The sequence below is a fragment of the Homo sapiens genome, chromosome 10 (genome assembly GCF_000001405.40).
Source record: "Homo sapiens chromosome 10, GRCh38.p14 Primary Assembly".
Taxonomy (NCBI): domain Eukaryota; kingdom Metazoa; phylum Chordata; class Mammalia; order Primates; family Hominidae; genus Homo; species Homo sapiens.
In genome coordinates, this window is record NC_000010.11 from 49,964,587 (window position 1) to 49,982,172 (window position 17,586).

The following is a 17,586-nucleotide window of genomic DNA, read 5'->3' on the forward strand; positions in this document are numbered from 1 at the left end:
AATGAATAATGAAATGCCGGGTGAAATGAAATGAAATGAAAAAATGAAATAAATGAAATGATGAAATGAAATAATGAAATGAATAATGAAATGCCAGGTGCAGTGGCACACTCCAGCCTGGGTGATAGAGCGAGTCTCTGTCTCAAATGGGATGAAATGAAATGAAGAAATGAAATAATGAATAATGAAATGCCGGGTGAAATGAAATGAAATGAAGAAATAATGAAATGAAATGAATAATGAAATGCTGGCTGTGGTGATGCACTCCAGCCTGGGTGATAGAGTGAGACTCCGTTTTGAAATGAAATGAAGGAGATGAAATGATGAAATAAATATGAAATGGAACATGAAATACTGGGTGCAGTGGCTCACGCTTGTAATCCTAGCACTTTGGGAGGCCTAGGTGGGCGGATCACTTGAGGTCAGGAGTTCAAGATCAGCCTGGCCAACATGGTGAAACCCTGTCTCTACTAAAATACAAAAATTAGCCGGGCATGATGGCAGGTGCCTGTAATCCCAGCTACTCGGGAGGCTGAGAGAGGAGAATCGCTTGTACCCAGGAGGTAGAGGTTGCGGTGAGCAGAGATCACACCACTGCACTCCAGCCTGGGCAATAGAACGAGTCTCCATCTCAGAATGAAATGACATGACATGATGAAATGAAATAATGAAATTAATAATGAAATGTGGGTGGCGCACTCCAGCCTGGGTGATAGAGTGAGTCTCTGTCATGAAATGAAATGGGAAATGAAATATGAAATGAATAATGAAATGCTGGGTGCACTCCAGCCTGGGTGATAGAGCGAGTCTACGTCATGAAATTGAAAAATGAAATGAAATAGATGAAATGAAAAAATGAAATAATAATGAAATGCCGGGTGTGGTGGTGCACTCCAGACTGGGCGATAGAGCGAGTCTCTGTCTCGAAATGAAATGAAACAAATGAAATGAAATGAAATGAGAAATGAAATGATGAAATACGAAATGCCAGGTGAAATGAAATGAATAATGAAATGCTGGGTGTGGTGGCGCACTCCAGACTGGGCGATAGAGCGAGTCTCTGTCTCGAAATGAAATGAAACAAATGAAATGAAATGAAGTGAGAAATGAAATGATGAAATGAAATACGAAATGCCGGGTGAAATGAAATGAATAATGAAATGCTGGGTGTGGTGGCACACTCCAGCCTGGGTAATGGAGCGAGTCTCCATCGAAATGAAATGAAATGAGATGAAATATGAAATGAAATAAATGAAACTAAATGATAAAATGGAATAATGAAATGCTGGGTGCGGTGGCGCACTCCAGCCTGGGCAATAGAGCAAGTCTTCATCTGGAAATGAAACGAAATGAAATGAAATGATGAAATGAATAATGAAATGCTGGGTGAAATGAAATGAAATAAATGAATAATGAAATGCCAGATGCAGTGGCGCACTCCAGCCTGGGTGATAGAGCGAGTCTCTGTCTCGAAATGAAATGACATGACATGACATGACATGACATGACATGATGAAATGAAATAATGAAATGAATAATGAAATGCTGGGTGTGGTGGTGCACTCCAGCTTGCGCGGTAGAGTGAGTCTTCATCTCTAAATGAAATAAAATGAAATGATGAAATGAATAATGAAATGCCAGGTGCGGTGGCGCACTCCAGCTTTGGGCAACAGAGCAAGTCTCTGTCTCGAAATGAAATGAAGTAAATGAATAATGAAATGCCGGGTGTGGTGGTGCACTCCAGCCTGGGCGATTGAGCGAGTTTCCATCTCGAAATGAAATGAAACGAAATGAAGAAATGAAATAATGAAATGAATAATGAAATGCTGGGTGCAATGAAATGAAGAAATGAAATAATGAAATGAAATGAATAATGAAATGTCAGGTGCAGTGGCGTACTCCAGCCTGGGTGATAGAGTGAGTTTCCATCTTGAAATGAAAGAAATGAAATATGAAATGCTGGGTGTGGTGGCTCACACCTGTAATCCTAGCACTTTGGGAGGCCGAGGCAGGTGGATCACCTGAGGTCAGGAGTTCAAGACCAGCCTGGCCAACATGATGAAACCCCATCTCTACTAAAATAAAAAAACTAGCCGGGCATGATAGCGGGTGCCTGTAATCCCAGCTACTTGGGAGGCAGAGAGAGGAGAATCGCTTGAACCCAGGAGATGGTGGTTGCCATGAGGCAAGATCGCGCCACTGCACTCCAGCCTGGGCAGCTGAGCGAAACTCTGTCTCAAAAAAATAAAAATAAATAAATGAATAAAATAAATTACTCTCTATCTGACAGCTGCTAGTTTTTCCCTCATGATCTTTCTATTAAAATAGCTCTGTACTTACTATGTTGAGCCCTTCCTTTTTTTTTGACAGGGTCTCAGACTAGAGTACAGTGGTGTGATCATGGCTCACTGCCACCTCTGCTTCCTGGGTTCAAGTGATGCTCCCATCTCAACCTCCCAAGATGCTAGGACTACAGGCACATGCCACCATGCCTGGCTAATTTTTTTGTGTTTTTTGTAGAGACAGGGTTTCACCATGGTGCCCAGGCTAGTCTCAAACTCCTGAGCTCAAGCGATCCACCCTGCCTTGGCCTCCCAAGTATTGGGATTACAGGTGTGAACCACCGCGCCCGGCCCCCTCTTTTTTTAAATTTCTGTATTTAAAGAGTACATTGGGGATTGGAAATAGTTTAGATCAGCAGGGATTAGCCATTCCCTAAATGTAAACTTCAGTGGTGCTATACTTAGAGTGCCTAAGGTCATTTCCAAATCCATGAATCTGGACGTTGAAGTTATATTTGTATTCCCACCACACAAAATTTATGTCTGTGCCCTGTCTTCTTGGGTCTATTTTTTAACCAGAAATTAATAAGACATTGATTTGCCTTTGTTAGAGTGATTTCAGTGTTTCGAGTTATTAAGACAGGAAGTGTGAGTCCCTGTTGGAATTCTGGGTCAGCAGATTATTTACCTCTTCTACAATTGCAATGGAAATTGAAATCTATTTGTCCTGTGACATAGAATTAATGAGTATTCTTTTTTGCTTTTTCTCTTCTGAGCCAAGAGCTTTCTTTTCATAATTTATGTTGGAGGTGTTCCAGACTATGTTACTACTGCAAGAAGGTCCTTGCCACAGAAAGTTAGACTCTCATTTCTTTTGACAATATCAAATATTCAGCCTTTTCCTCTGTCTTAAGAATACATATAATATGCCTTAAGTTAGATGCTATACCATAGTGGCTTCCCTTGTGTAAGAAAATGGAGTGGAGGGGGCTGAGCTGGAGCTTCCATGCCTATCTGTTGGGCTAGAAACACCTCCCACTCAACTCCAGCCATTTGCCACTCTGCATAATTAGTGTACCTCATTTATTCAGAAGAAGCTGGAATCCCAGATTTTTATGTGAAATCTCCTGTTTTTAAAATATTTGATCTTTTTCAACATAATTTGGCCCAACAAAACTCTTACTGGCTTGAGTGCTGCCCTTGTACTGCCAATTGAAGTTTAACATTTGTCTAACCCTAAAGACTTTCAAAGTGAAATTATTTTTAGGTTCTTAACAAGGTTTTTCTATGCCAAGGTAAAATTTTCAAGGGCATATGAGGTATTTACTGTCTCACTCAGAGTTCTGTTTAAGTGAGCACATGGGCATGCATGTTGGAGAAAGTGTTGTGAGCTCTTACGGATAAAGTTTGAAATGCAACCTATTTTCAATAGAAAAAAGCCTCTTACTCTCAGATAGCTCAGAAAAACTTAGATTTTACAATCCTTTTAAGACTTAAGACTCTTAGGTCTGTGGAGTCAAAATGCTACGTGATATTTGTGGTGGATGAATTACTGAAAAACAGAATTCCTCAGCGAATCAAGTGTCTGATGCATAATAAACCAACCCAACAAAAAAAGCTGCCTTTCAGAGGCAAGAATATAAAACATGTGTAGTTAATTAAGCTATTTAAAACAGAAATGTTAGGCCTGGCACAGTGGCTCATGTCTGTAATCCCAGCACTTTGGGAGTCCAAGGCGGGAGGATCACAAGGTCAGGAGATTGAGACCATCCTGGCTAACACAGTGAAACCCCGTCTCTACTGAAAATACAAAAACATTATCCGGGCATGGTGGTGGGTGCCTGTAGTCCCAGCTACTAGGGAGGCTGAGACAGGAGAATGGCGTGAACCTGGGAGGCAAGGCTTGCAGTGAGCCGAGATTGCACCACTGCACTCCAGCCTGGGCCACAGAGCAAGACTCCGTCTCAAAAAAAGAAATGTTATGAAAAATTTGGAAATATTTGTCACTAGCTGTATGACCTTTTGAAAAAGGTCCGCCTAATACCTTGCTCATCTATAAAATTGCGGTATGATGATTATCAATTTACAGGATTGTGATGCATTTTAAATGAAACAAGTTCCATTACGTGCTTATTGCTGAAGGTATAATTCAGTGAATGTTCTTTCCTTTTCTTAGAGCAGAGTTTGGTATTTTATTTTCACCTAAGCCATTTTGGTCAGTTCTTAAGGCTTTGATTATTTTTTTAAGTTGAATGGTGTTTAGTGTGCCCGTGTTCATAACAGCATATTATTCACAACAGCCATACAGGCTGGGTGTGGTAGCTCATGTCTATAATCCCAGCACTTTGGGAAGCCAATGTGGGCAGATTGAGTCCAGGAGTGTAAGGGCAATATGGTGAAACCCTGTCTATACAAAAAATTAGCCAGTCTTGGTGGTGGGCACCTGTAGTCCCACTTACTGGGAAGGCTGAGATGGGAGAATCACCTGAGCCCAGGAGGTCAAAGCTGCAGTGTGCCTTCATTGTGCCACTGCACTCTAGCCTGGGCGACAGAGTGAGACCCTGTGTCAAAAAAAAAAAAAAAAAAAAAGATAGATTCTAAGAGGCCAAGGCAGGCAAATGGACAGATTGCTTGAGCCCAGGAGTTGGAGACTAGCCTGGACAACATAGCTACTAAAAATACAAAAAATGAGCTAAGCATGGTGGTACATGCTACTCCCGAGGCTGAGGTGGGAAGATCACTTGAGCTTGGGGAGGTCAAGGCTGCAGTGAGCCGTGATCATGCCACTGCACTCCAGCCTAGGTGACCCTGTCTCAAAAAAAGAAAAATGTGGTATATACATAGAATATTATTCTGCCTTTAAAAAGAAAATTCTGGCTCTCCCTCTCACTCTCCCTCTCCCCACGGTCTCCCTCTCCCTCTCCCCACGGTCTCCCTCTCCCTCTCTTTCCATGGTCTCCCTCTGATGCCGAGCCGAAGCTGGACTGTACTGCTGCCATCTCGGCTCACTGCACCCTCCCTGCCTGATTCTCCTGCCTCAGCCTGCTGAGTGCCTGCGATTGCAGGTGCACGCCGCCACGCCTGACTGGTTTTTGTATTTTTTTTGGTGGAGACGGGGTTTCGCCATGTTGGCCGGGCTGGTCTCCAGCTCCTAACCGCGAGTGATCTGCCAGCCTCGGCCTCCCGAGGTGCCGGGATTGCAGATGGAGTCTCGTTCACTCAGTGCTCAATGTTGCCCAGGCTGGAGTGCAGTGGCGTGATCTCGGCTAGCTACAACCTCCACCTCCCAGCCGCCTGCCTTGGCCTCCCAAAGTGCCGAGATTGCAGCCTCTGCCCGGCTGCCACCCCGTCTGGGAAGTGAGGAGCGTCTCTGCCTGGCCGCCCATCGTCTGGGATGTGAGGAGCCCCTCTGCCCGGGCTGCCCAGTCTGGGAAGTGAGGAGCGCCTTTTCCCGGCTGCCATCCCGTCTAGGAAGTGAGGAGCGTCTCGGCCCGGCCACCCATCGTCTGAGATGAGGGGAGCGCCTCTGCCCCGCCGCCCCGTCTGGGATGTGAGGAGCGCCTCTGCCTGGCCGCGACCCCGTCTGGGAGGTGAGGAGCGTCTCTGCCCAGCCGCCCTGTCTGAGAAGTGAGGAGCCCCTCCGCCTGGCAGCTGCCCTGTCTGAGAAGTGAGGAGCCCCGCCGCCCAGCAGCTGCCCCTTCTGAGAAGTGAGGAGCCCCTCCGCCCGGCAGCCGCCCCGTCCGGGAGGTGGGGGGGCAGCCCCCGCCCGGCCAGCTGCCCCGTCCGGGAGGGAGGTGGGGGGCAGCCCCTGCCCCGCCAGCCACCCCATCCGGGAGGGAGGTGGGGGGCGCCTCTGCCCGGCTGCCGCCCCGTCTGGGAGGTGGGGGGCGCCTCTGCCCGGCCACCCCTTCTGGGAAGTGAGGAGCCCCTCTGCCCGGCCGCCACCCCATCTGGGAGGTGTACCCAACAGCTCATTGAGAATGGGCCATGATGACGATGGCGGTTTTGTTGAATAGAAAAGGGGGAAATGTGGGGAAAAGATAGAGAAATCGGATTGTTGCTGTGTCTGTGTGGAGGGAAGTAGACATAGGAGACTCCATTTCGTTCTGTACTAAGAAAAATTCTTCTGCCTTGGGATGCTGTTGATCTATGACCTTACCCCCAACCCGGTGCTCTCTGAAACATGTGCTGTGTCCACTCAGGGTTAAATGGATTAAGAGCGGTGCAAGATGTGCTTTGTTAAACAGATGCTTGAAGGCAGCATGCTCCTTGAGAGTCATCACCGCTCCCTAATCTCAAGTACCCAGGGACACAAAAACTGCGGAAGGCCGCAGGGTCCTCTGCCTAGGAAAACCAGAGACCCTTGTTCACATGTTTATCTGCTGACCTTCCCTCCACTATTGTCCTATGACCCTGCCAAATCCCCTTCTCCGAGAAACACCCAAGAATGATCAATAAATACTAAAAAAAAAAAAAAAAAATACTGCAAGAACATCTGCCCCAGAACTGCCTGTCCAACCTGGACTGACATCATCCTTGTTATTGATCTTTGTAGCCAAATATAATTATTTTAAAACAAACAAAAAAAGAGAATGTAAGCAGTATAAGACTTTAAAACACACAAATGAAATATACATGACTACATGCTTCAGTGAACTAAAACTTTCATCTGTGATCTTTATTTTGCAACATTCTGAAGTAACATTACAGTCTTTTCAGTGTGCTGTGTCATTTATATCCCTTACTTTATCCTAGGAATCCTGTATTGCCATTGAGCATATGCAAATTGAGACATGTGCATAGCTTCTCCCCGTTGAGCCCATCAGTGGGGAGGAGCTATGTACCGGGGACATTTGGCAAAGATTTTCATGAGTCTCTTGGATGTAACAGCTCCTTAAGAAAACCTCAGTTTACCTTCCCTATTTTTTACCATTTGTAAAACTAAGGCTCAGTGATGTAAAATATAACACATTCTGTGCTGTGGCATAACTGCAGCTTAGGTTTTTATATTCAAGACAAGCAGAGGTATAGCTGAAAAGGTATGAACACTTACTATGCTTCAAGATCCCTTCGTTGGTTTAGTTGTGGCATTTTAGAACAGCTGACTTGGGACTAAAGCATCTTTCTATCTGGGATCAGTATTTCTAAGTTGCCTTTAAGCTGAATAAACATTTGGTTTTTATATTTAATTGCTTCGATGTGAAACACTGCAATTTAAAAAATTACACATATGTAATATAGTATTTTACACTAAATAATAGTGACTGGCAGTCCACTGGCCGAAGAAGTATTATTTTTCAGATATTCTGCTCTGTCATCAGCTGTAGACACTGACAGGTATTTATCTGGAAAGGCTTGCTGTCAGGGGTTCACAGTGCTGCTTGTGGGTTATCTCCAGACCCTTTACATTCGGCACTTTAGGACAGCGTGAGTCACAGGTTGCACTAGAAGTTGCCTTTGAAATTAGACCTAAACTATGTGGAACTGGAACCCTTGTACACAAAGCTCTCTATCATCCAAATCCTGCTGAACTCTCTTAGGAAAGAACAGTTTTACAGATTCATTCTTTCCACACACAAGATTTCCCCACTGCCCAGTTACTCTCACCTTTTTATTTTCTTGACTGTTATGTTTTACTTGACTCTGGAATCTTACCTTGTACTCTCACATTTACATGGAAGTATAGCTTATTTCACCAATTATACTATCAAAAGCAGAAGTAGTTACTTACACCTGAAAATTTGTACTGAGAATGTAGCTGTGAATATGTTTAAGAAAGTATACTTAAAGCACAAATCCAAGGAAGTATATTTAAATCAAAGCAAGAAATCCCATTTCCAAATGGCAATAAAGCATGTGTTACATAGAATCAGTGCATGAAAGTGTTTTAGTAGCCCAGATTAGATTGTACCCTGGCGAATAAGCAAGAGTTCTTTTTCATTTTCATCTTGCAATTCAACTGGGTATTTGGGTTCTTTTTCTATTCACTCATGTCAGATAGAGACATGCATGTTGTAAATTATTTTGTCAGAATGAAAGCCTGGCAGATTAAATGCTTTCTTCTCTTCTTGCTTTACTTGATATCAATCTCTTGTTCATTTCTTGATAATATGTTTGGTTATTTTTGTTTTCATTGCTTTTAGTGTCAGAGATGGCTTTGGATTCCCCGTTCTGTGTGCTGCTGTCTGGCTCCTGAACCCAGCTGTAGAGGTGTGTGTCAATCCCAACTGGTGAAGTACTGAGAAGAAGCTACACAAAAGGCAGCAAAGTATTAGTAAGTGTACCTCTGACATTTTAACCACCTCTGACTTTTCCATGGAATGGACAAGTAGTAGTCTCTGTCAGAGCTACATTTTAAAGGAGAAAAAGAAACGTGAAGTCATGAACTGTTTATTTATGCTGTTATTTTTGTGTTTACTCACCTCATTTATATTGACTTGTAAATTAGTAATTTCTGAACTATTATTTATCAATTCATTGCCTACATGTCAGCAAACAAATTTTCTTCTTAATAAAGAATCCAGTTGCTGGGCACAATGGTTCACACCTGTAATCTCAGCACGTTTGGAGGGCAAGGCAGGAGGATTCCTTGGGGCTAGGAGTTCAAGACCAGCCTGGGCAATATAGCAAGATTTCATCTCTACAAAAAAATGAAAACATTGGCTGGGCATGGTGGCTCATTCCTATAGTTCAGGCTACTGAGGAGCCTGATGTAGGAGGATCACGTGACCCCAGTAGTTTGAGGCTGCAGTGAGCTATGATCCTAACACTGCTCTCCAGCCTGGGTGACACACCAAGTTGCCATCTCTTCAAAAAAGGAATCTAGAGACATCAGTGTGTGCACAAGCATGGTTTGTGAATTTGGAAGTGTGTATGTGCATAGTTGTGCTCAAGAATGTGTTGATGATTATACCTTCTCAGAATGAAGGTAATTTTTTTTTTTTCTTTTTTTTTGAGATGGAGTCTTGCTCTGTTGCCAGGCTGGAGTGCAGTGGTGCTCTCAGCTCACTGCAACCTCTGCCTCCCGGCTTCAAGCAGTTCTCCTGCCTCAGCCTCCCAAGTAGCTGGGACTACAGGCACACACCACCACTCCCGGCTAATTTTTTGTGTTTTAGTAGAGACGGGGTTTTACCATGTTGGCCAGGATGGTCTCGATCCCCCGACCTTGTGATCCACCCACCTTGGCCTCCCAAAGTGTTGGGATTACAGGTGTGAGCCACCGTGCCTGGCCTGAAGGTCATTTTTATAAAGATCTCTCCACGTCTTAGATTTGATTCTTCCTTTAAATATTTTTCTCATTGACATTTGAAAGCACCTGACCTTATATAAAATGAACAATTTTCATAACTCCATAAAAGGAGAATTATGGCATCATCTATTTCTTTCTCTTGTCTCATAAATCTAAACCATCAACCTGCTTATTTTTGTATACTGTCACACTGTGTATTCCCTGCATTGAATGCCTGTCTGTTGACATTATCTGTAAAAATTGTGGGAAGTTTTCTGCACCCTGAAATTTCTGTTATGCGGATTAAATATCCACTATCCATGTTTTTCCAAGTCTTACAGTAGAAAGGGTAAATGCAGCCCTCACAGCAGCCTGTTGTTCGTCCTGCAAATGTGTTTCCATCACATTACACAAAGCCTCTTTGTCTTCGTGGTTCTACCCTACTAATAAGTTTTTTAAAAAATTATGTAATGTGTGTATATACAAATACCTATATGTATGTGTGTACACATACAGCTGATATCTGCTGAGATTATGTATGCATGAACTATAGAATTAACTTGTAATTTTAAGAAAATAAATTATTTTGTAAAGATAAATCTCATGTTTAAGAAGAGGAATTACAGTTGAATCATTTAGGGATGCCTCAGCCTAAACATAATATGGAAAAAGCCATAACCAAAAGTCATTTTAGAGTACTGCTAGGTTACTCAACCTATCATCACATTTAATTAAAATGTCAGTTTGAACCATGGCCAGTCTATGTTGGTTAATATGTTATTTAAATCAACTTGTGAAGTCTTCATTTTAAATATAGAATTTGTGTTAATGGACTGGAAAATAACATTCTATTGCTTGGAAGATGTGTTAAAGTCTAAAGATTTATGACTTTGTAAAAGAAGAAAACCAGGTGATGATCAGTTGGCATTAGTATATGAGGATGTACTCATATTTGGTAATAGCCATTTTTTCTAACTAGAGCAAGGGAGTTGGGAATGGGAGGCAGAAGCAAGGACACAGACATGTAAAAAATCATAGAACAAAACTGTATTGAGTTCTGAGTATGGGTCTGTGATCCATGGTTCAGTTTGAGAGGTTCATGTGTCCCTTATGAGAAGGGACAGGAAAGCCAGGAGGAAAGGAGTATGTTTGGGCCTGTGCCTCTGCTTCCACCACAGAAGTCAGCAGCTCTACCTTTCTCTTTTCTCCTCTTTATCTAATAATTGTCTCCTCTTCAAATTTGGGAAATGAGCTTAATCAAAGATTTGTTGTGTTTTGTTTGTTTGTTTGTTTTTGAAATGTGGCCTCAGTGTGTTTGCCCAGGCTGATCTTAAACTCCTGGGCTCACATGATCCTCCCTCTCAGCCTCCTGAGTAGCTGGGACTACAGGCATGATCCACTACACCCAGCTAAGTTAATGCTAATGTGTAGTTTATCTGCTTCAATTTTGAAGGGTAGGATATATATAGTTATGTGTGTGTGTGTGTGGGGGGGGGTAGTGTTTGTGTGTGTGTGTGTGTATATATATTTATATATTACTAGTCCATTGCTGCTACAACAAACTACCACTATGTCAGGGCATAAAACAAATTTATTACACTCCTGTATGTCAGAGTATGATGTGGATCTCACTGGGCTAAAATCTAGGTGGTGGAAAGGCTACCTTCATCTCTAGAGGCTCTAGGGGATCTTTTTTCTCGCCTTTTCCACATTCTGGAGTCTGCCTGCATTTTTTGGCTTTGGGCTCTTCTCCACTCTCACCATTAGCAACCTTGCATCCCATGGACTCTTCTTCTGTGGCCACATGTCTCTGTGGCTCTTTCCTTCCCCCTTCTCTTCCACTGTTAAGGACTCATGTGCTTACTTAGTCCTGAATGGAGACACCGTCATCATCCACATGAGCCCACTGTCCTAATCCATACAGGCTGCTACAAGGAAATGCATTAGACCAGGTAGCTTATAAATAACAGAACTTTGTTTCTCACAGTCCTGGAGGCTGAGAAGTGCAAGATCAAGGTGCCGGCAGTCTTGGTGTCTGGTGAAGGCCTGCTTTCTCATAGAGGCTTCCTTCTTGCTGTGTCTTCGCATGGTGAGAGGAACAAACAAGCTCCCTTGTGCCTTTAATAAGGTGCTAATCCCAGTCATGAGGGCAGAGTCTCCCGTAAGGCTTAACCTCCTAATACCATCACCTTGAGGGTTAGGATTTTAACACATGAACATTGATGGAACACAACGTTCACTCCATAGCACCAGGGTAGTCTCCTCATGTCAAGGTCTTTACCTGAATCACATGCATGATGTACCGTTTTCATGTAAGGTTCTAGGAATCTGTGGACATCTTTGGGGGGCCATTATTTTGCCAATCACATATTACATATATTTTAATATCCTAGACTAGTATGAAAACAATGCCACTTTCATTGCTTTATATATGCATATATATATACACATTGTCTAATGCTATAATTAAAAAAAAGTTGTAGACACAAATATACCCATTTAAAAAAAACCCATTTTTTGCTATTTTACTTCATACTGCCAACCAACTCCTTTTTCCTGAAACTGCTTCAACTCTGGAATTCTTTTTTGCTATTAGTTTTATTTTATTGAAGTATTCATGAACAAGCATACACTTGTATATGGATTTAAAATTCACAGTAATGTTTTCATGAATTCATCTGTGAATAACATTTTATAGACAAAATGTCTGCACTAGGACAAGAGAAAGATGTATAATTCCCTTGTTCTAAGGTACCGCCATTCATTGTTATTATTTTAAAATACGAGTGTCGACTGATGTTAAAACACAAAATGGGGCCGGGAGTGGTGGCTCCCGCCTGTAATCCCAACACTTTGGGAGGTGGGTGGATCACCTGAGGTCAGGAGTTTGAGACCAGCCTGGCCAACATGGTGAAACCCCGTCTCTACTAAAAATACAAAAATTAGCTGGGCATGTGTTGCGCGCCCGTAATCTTAGCTACCCGGGAAACTGAGTCAGGAGAATTGCTGGAATCTGGGAGGCGGAGGCTGCAGTGAGCCGAGATCACACCAGTGCACTCTAGACTGGGTGACAGAGCGAGACTCTGTTCTTCCCCCCTACCCCCCCAAAAAAAAAACCACAAAAAGGGATAATTGGCTGGGCAAGTGGCTCATGCCTGTAATCCCAGCACTTTGGGAGGCCAAGGTGGACAGATCACCTGAGACCGGGAGTTCAAGACCAGCCTGACCAACATGGAGAAACCCTGCCTCTACTAAAAATGCAAAAATTAGCCGGGCATGGTGGCACATGCCTGTAATCCCAGCTACTCAGGAGGCTGAGGCAGGAGAATTGCTTGACTTTGGGAGGTGGAGGTTGCTGTGAACCAAGATTGCACCATTGCACTCTAGCCTGGACAACAACAGCAAAACTCTGTCTCAAAAAAAAAAAAAAAAAAAAAGATTTATAACTGGGCAATGGAATTGAAAATCATTTTTAAAAATATCCAAAATATCTAAGGAACTTGTATAAATAAATAGGAAAAAAAAAAAACATCAAGAAGCCCACAAAAAAGCAGATTTGTAAATGGGCAATGGATTTCAATAGACATTTAGCCAAAGAAGATATCCAGTTGGTGAAAAGGCATATGGAAAGGTGCTTAGCATCACTGATTATCAGGAAAATGAAAATCAAAACCACCACGAGTGGTTTAGACCATAGCGGCATGCATGAAAGTTTTCAGACCTCCAGTTGTTGGGAGTGGCTGAGGACATTGGGGAGCTTCTGTCTGAGTTGGAAGAGTGGAGTCTCAACAAGAACCATTGTATTCTGGACATGTGTGGGCCCTGGAGTGTGCAAGGCTGGATGCCTTGTCTACCTGTGCCTTACAGAGTGACACCATTGTGGTGTGGTTGATCAGAGGTTTGTTTGCCCACGGATGAAAGCAAAAGTGAGTTGGCTTCCCAAGAACTTTTACCAGTAGCCTGTTTTGCTACAATTCTAGACCCAGACTGGGGTCCCAAGGCATCATAGCCCACAGCTTCTTAGCAAGTGCATGTTCAGTTGGATCCCCCAGCTCAGCCTGGGTCATCCCCACCTTCTGCCTCTTGGGCCATAGCTCAGCTCTGCACACTGAGCCATCATCCTATGGTGAGCAAGACCCCATTCTTGGGCTTCAGTCTCTTTCCTTGTAGCAGGCAATCAAGGTGGTGGCTGGAAAGGGCCAAGGAGCCACATCTCACAGTGCCCTGCTGCCTGAACAAGGACCAGAGGCCTGTGGAACACATGGCTCTCAGATTTCTCCCATTTGATGACTCATCAGCTGCCCCCACATGGCTTCCTAGCTCACAGCAGATCTAGCCTTCTCTGAGCAGTGAAGATGGGATGTTTTGTGGTCATTTTCCCTGGTGTGCAGAGCCCAAGTGGAGTTCTTCAGCACACCCTAGTCCATCCCCTCACTAACACCCCCACCTGTCCAGTCTTACCTGCCTTCATATCAAAAGCACACAGTTAACCCAGAGGGCTTCTGCCCTGCCCTGCCTGACTTTCTGGGAAACCCCCCTCTCCACCCACCCTAATCAGGACACTGTCTGAAGGTTCCCCCTCATCATTTTAAAAGAAAGAGAAATTTTTCTGCCACAGAGGTTCTGGTGAAGTGGCCTGCTCCCACATCACAGGGTGATGGCGGTTTGGGCTGGACCAGGATCAGACAGTGCTGTCCTGAGGCTGGCCGTCTGATAAGGGGCTACAGAAAGGGCAGTGGTGGAGCCCTGGGAGGCTTTCTGCTCTCCTGATCACAGGTTTTTGGTGAGAGGACCTATTGGCCACTAGGGTGTCTGCGTGCGTGTGTGTGTGTGTGTGTGTGTGTGTGTGTGTGTGATGTGTGTTTACTTGGATTGACTTCTTTCAGCATGAAGCCCACTGTTTTGCTGAATGTATCTCACTGTTTCCTGAAACTCAGTACATTCAGCTGGCTTAAGGGTCCTGGGGCCTCGCTGTGTCATATTTGCACAAGCCTAGTGTCTGTGCAGACTGTACACTGGAGTTCAGTTGTAAGACCCTTTTGATCCCTTATTCTGTTCCTGTAGTAGAAAAGGCATTTCACTCAATGGAATAGAAACCCAGATCCAATGGAGAGATATTCTAATCTGCCATACACTGGGGCAGTGGCCAGTGATTTGGACTTGGTGGCACAGATGGAAATTTCCAGGTTCTCTAGGTGGTAGGCAGAGGCCTCACTTTTTAAGAAACTCCCCCACTCCACCCCTGCCAATGAGGACGTTGCTTAGAGGTATTTCTATCAGTGTTGAGTAGAAGAGATCATTTCTTGATGTTGAATTTCAGGTAAGGATGCCAGCTTCTGCATATCAGGGTGGTGATGCTTGGGCTGAGACAGGTCTAGACAGCACTGTCTGAAAGGGGGCTCAAGGAAGTAGCTGTGAAAGGCCCCTGGGATGTTTTCTGCTCCCCTTCCTGCAAATCCCCTGGAGGGAGATCCTGTTAGTCACTACGGGATGTGTGTGTGTGTGTGTGTGTGTGTGTGTGTGTGTGTGTTCATCACTTGTTGCTTGGGTGTGGGAAGAGACAACAACAACCTACAGAATCCAGAGTTCTCAGTTCATCTCCCATCCTAGTCCAATCATGGCCTAACATCCTTAGCTACCGATCGCAGAGGAGACTGCGCATTTGTGTTCATGTGGCCTTGGATGTTGGCAGATTCAGATTGGTGCCCCAGACATCTGTGCCTGTAACTGCAGTTTCAGCGGGCTCAGGACCAGGCTAAAGGGCCTCCAAGCTTCCTCCAGTTTCCTGGTGCATGCATGTGCAATATACTCCCGTGGCCTGGGTCTTTCCTGCCGCTTCTTGCCAGTTGGGTCAGAACTAGCTTATTAACCAGTTTTTTCTGAGCTTTAATCGAACTGGCTCCAACCAGTTGGAGACTTGAAAAGGGCTACGTGATAGTTATAGATTTTTAAAGATATATTATTATTTTAGAGTAGTATTGAGTGTACAGCAAAATGGAGTACAGGGTCCAGAGATCTCATATGGCCTCAATTCCTGTACACTCTCAGGTCACTCCACCAATAACCTCCTACACCAGAGCCACTTTGAAACATTAGAAAATATATTTGAGCATTCAGAAATGTATAAACTAGGCAGCTCCAGACTGCAAGCAGCTCAGAGTTCCAACAGAGAGGGAGGGTGGGGGAAGAATTTTATATGGTGAATGTGGAAGAAAAAGAAAATACTTGATTGGGTAAAGTGGAGCAGTGGCCTCATTTGGAACATTACAGTGGAAAGTCTCTAGTTAGATGTTAGTTGGTGGTTTCTGACTGGTTAAACTTAAGTTTCCTTTTATTATTTACACTGAGTCAAGTTTTGGGTTATTTAAGGAGGAATTGAGTGCACTGCAGCCACCTCAGCCTCATGGCCACCTGTTTATTTGATTATTTTTAACAGAGAAGATCCTTTTAAAAATATCTGTTACCCTGGCTGGAGTGCAGTGACGTGATCACGGCTCACTGCAGCCACAACCTTCCAGCTTAGGTGATCCTCCCACCTCAGTGCTCCCCACCCTGAGTAGCTGGGACTATAGGCATGTGCCACCACACCACCATGCTAGGCTAATGGTTTGTATTTGTTTGAGAGATGCAGTTTCCCTAAGTTGCTTAGGCTTCTTTTTTAGACTCAAATAATCTGCATGCATTGGCCTCCCTTAGTGCTGGAATTACAGGCCATCTAAATCTTTTATCTCAGGTTTGCCTTGTGACAAAAGGAGGGGTACTTTTTCTGACATGATGAGGCAGAGAAAGGTGAGGTGGGCGCATCCTGTGCATATGATTTTCTCAGGTGATGGGAATATGGTTGGCTCTTGACTAATGGGATATATTTTCTCTTTGAATGATTTGGCAAGATATCAGATGAGAGAAATTGAATGAATGTTAGAAGAACATAGAAAAAACAGGTTATACACGTTGGGTTTCTGAAGAAATGATGTGTTTGGAGAAACAAAACTTTTATTGATTTCTGGAAACATTTAGGGCCAATTTTTTATGTAAGTAATTTGAATTTATGATGATATCTCTGACCACTTTTTGATATTTTTTCTGGTTCAGGTGAGTAGTGTCATTGAGCAAACACAAAGTCGGGCTCATCCAAGGATGAGATTTTGCCAGAGAAAGGACGAGCAGCAAGTCAGGGAGCTTAAGGTAATTATGGGAAAGTGACTATCTGCAATTGCTTAGGTAGAAGGAGACAGATTGGATTTTTGTGTGTTTGGTATTTGGGATAAGAGGGATGTGGGTGTGTTTTTGACATGGGTTGTTTATTCTCTGTCTCTCTCTCTCTTTTTTTTTTTTTGAGAGGGAGTCTCACTCTGTCGCCCAGGCTGGAGTTCTGTGGCACAGTCTTGGCTCACTGCAACCTCTGCCTCCCAGGTTCAAGGGATTCTCCTGCCTCAGCCTCCCGAGTAGCTGGGATTACAGGTGCCTGCCACCACGCCCGGCTAATTTTTGTGATTTTTTTTTTTAGTAGAGATGAGGTTTTACTATGTAGGCGAAGTTGGTCTCGAACTCCTGACCTCAGATGATCCACCCGCCTCAGCCTCCCAAAGTGCTGGGATTACAGGCGTGAGCCACCGCACCTGGCCTGTTTATTCTCTTAAGAGAGAAAATGAGGGGATTAGTGGACTGTAGTTCTGGACAAGGTGGAAAACTCTTAAAGTGGAAGTATTGGGGCAAGTGCTCTGACAGGCTAGGATGGTGCAGTCAGTCACTTCACCCAGAAATCAGTAGAATGTTAACAGTTCAGACTCAAACCTTGTGAAAAACAGGTTCTAGAAAGGAAATCCCTCACAGCAACTGGCACCATAATCAAGACAGAATTTTTGCAGAATAAATGGAGTTACCTGCTTTCAGCCCCAGGTCGTAGCTATTGTCTGCCCTGCTGATATGTGATAATAATTTGTGATCCTGTTGTCTTAAAATGGGGTCACTCATCTCCAGTAGAATTAAGTCCACAGTGAAGTTGTCCCCCCATCCCCAGAGATAAACATATATGAATGAACTCACGTGATAACAACTACTGCTGCCTGGGATCAT

The 17,586-nt window shown here is 43.9% G+C and overlaps 1 protein-coding gene, 1 long non-coding RNA gene and 1 pseudogene across 13 annotated transcripts in view; 2 read left to right on the plus strand and 1 right to left on the minus strand.

Annotated features, from left to right (window-relative positions):
- TIMM23B (translocase of inner mitochondrial membrane 23 homolog B) overlaps positions 1–10,264 on the plus strand; it is a 32,798-nt gene extending 22,534 nt beyond the window's left edge. For 4 of the 6 annotated variants that reach the window (NR_110767.2, NM_001290117.2, NM_001290118.2 and 1 more), the window contains one exon: positions 8,426–10,264. Coding sequence is in view for 3 of the 6 variants with exons in the window: in NM_001290117.2 (NP_001277046.1) it covers positions 8,426–8,478 (53 nt within the window). In the remaining 3 variants the exon portion in view is untranslated. Of the gene's footprint in view, positions 1–5,455; positions 5,873–8,425 lie in introns of all 6 variants that reach the window. The other 2 variants (NR_158651.1, NR_158652.1) reach the window with 2 other exon arrangements.
- The window catches only part of TIMM23B-AGAP6 (TIMM23B-AGAP6 readthrough (NMD candidate)), a 68,464-nt gene that overhangs the window by 22,534 nt on the left and 28,344 nt on the right, over positions 1–17,586 (plus strand). For 5 of the 7 annotated variants that reach the window (NR_158660.1, NR_158657.1, NR_158656.1 and 2 more), the window contains one exon: positions 8,426–8,556. This is a non-coding gene — a long non-coding RNA (TIMM23B-AGAP6 readthrough (NMD candidate)). Of the gene's footprint in view, positions 1–5,522; positions 5,873–8,425; positions 8,557–17,586 lie in introns of all 7 variants that reach the window. The other 2 variants (NR_158661.1, NR_158659.1) reach the window with 1 other exon arrangement.
- On the minus strand, positions 15,079–15,194 carry RNA5SP317 (RNA, 5S ribosomal pseudogene 317; annotated as a pseudogene).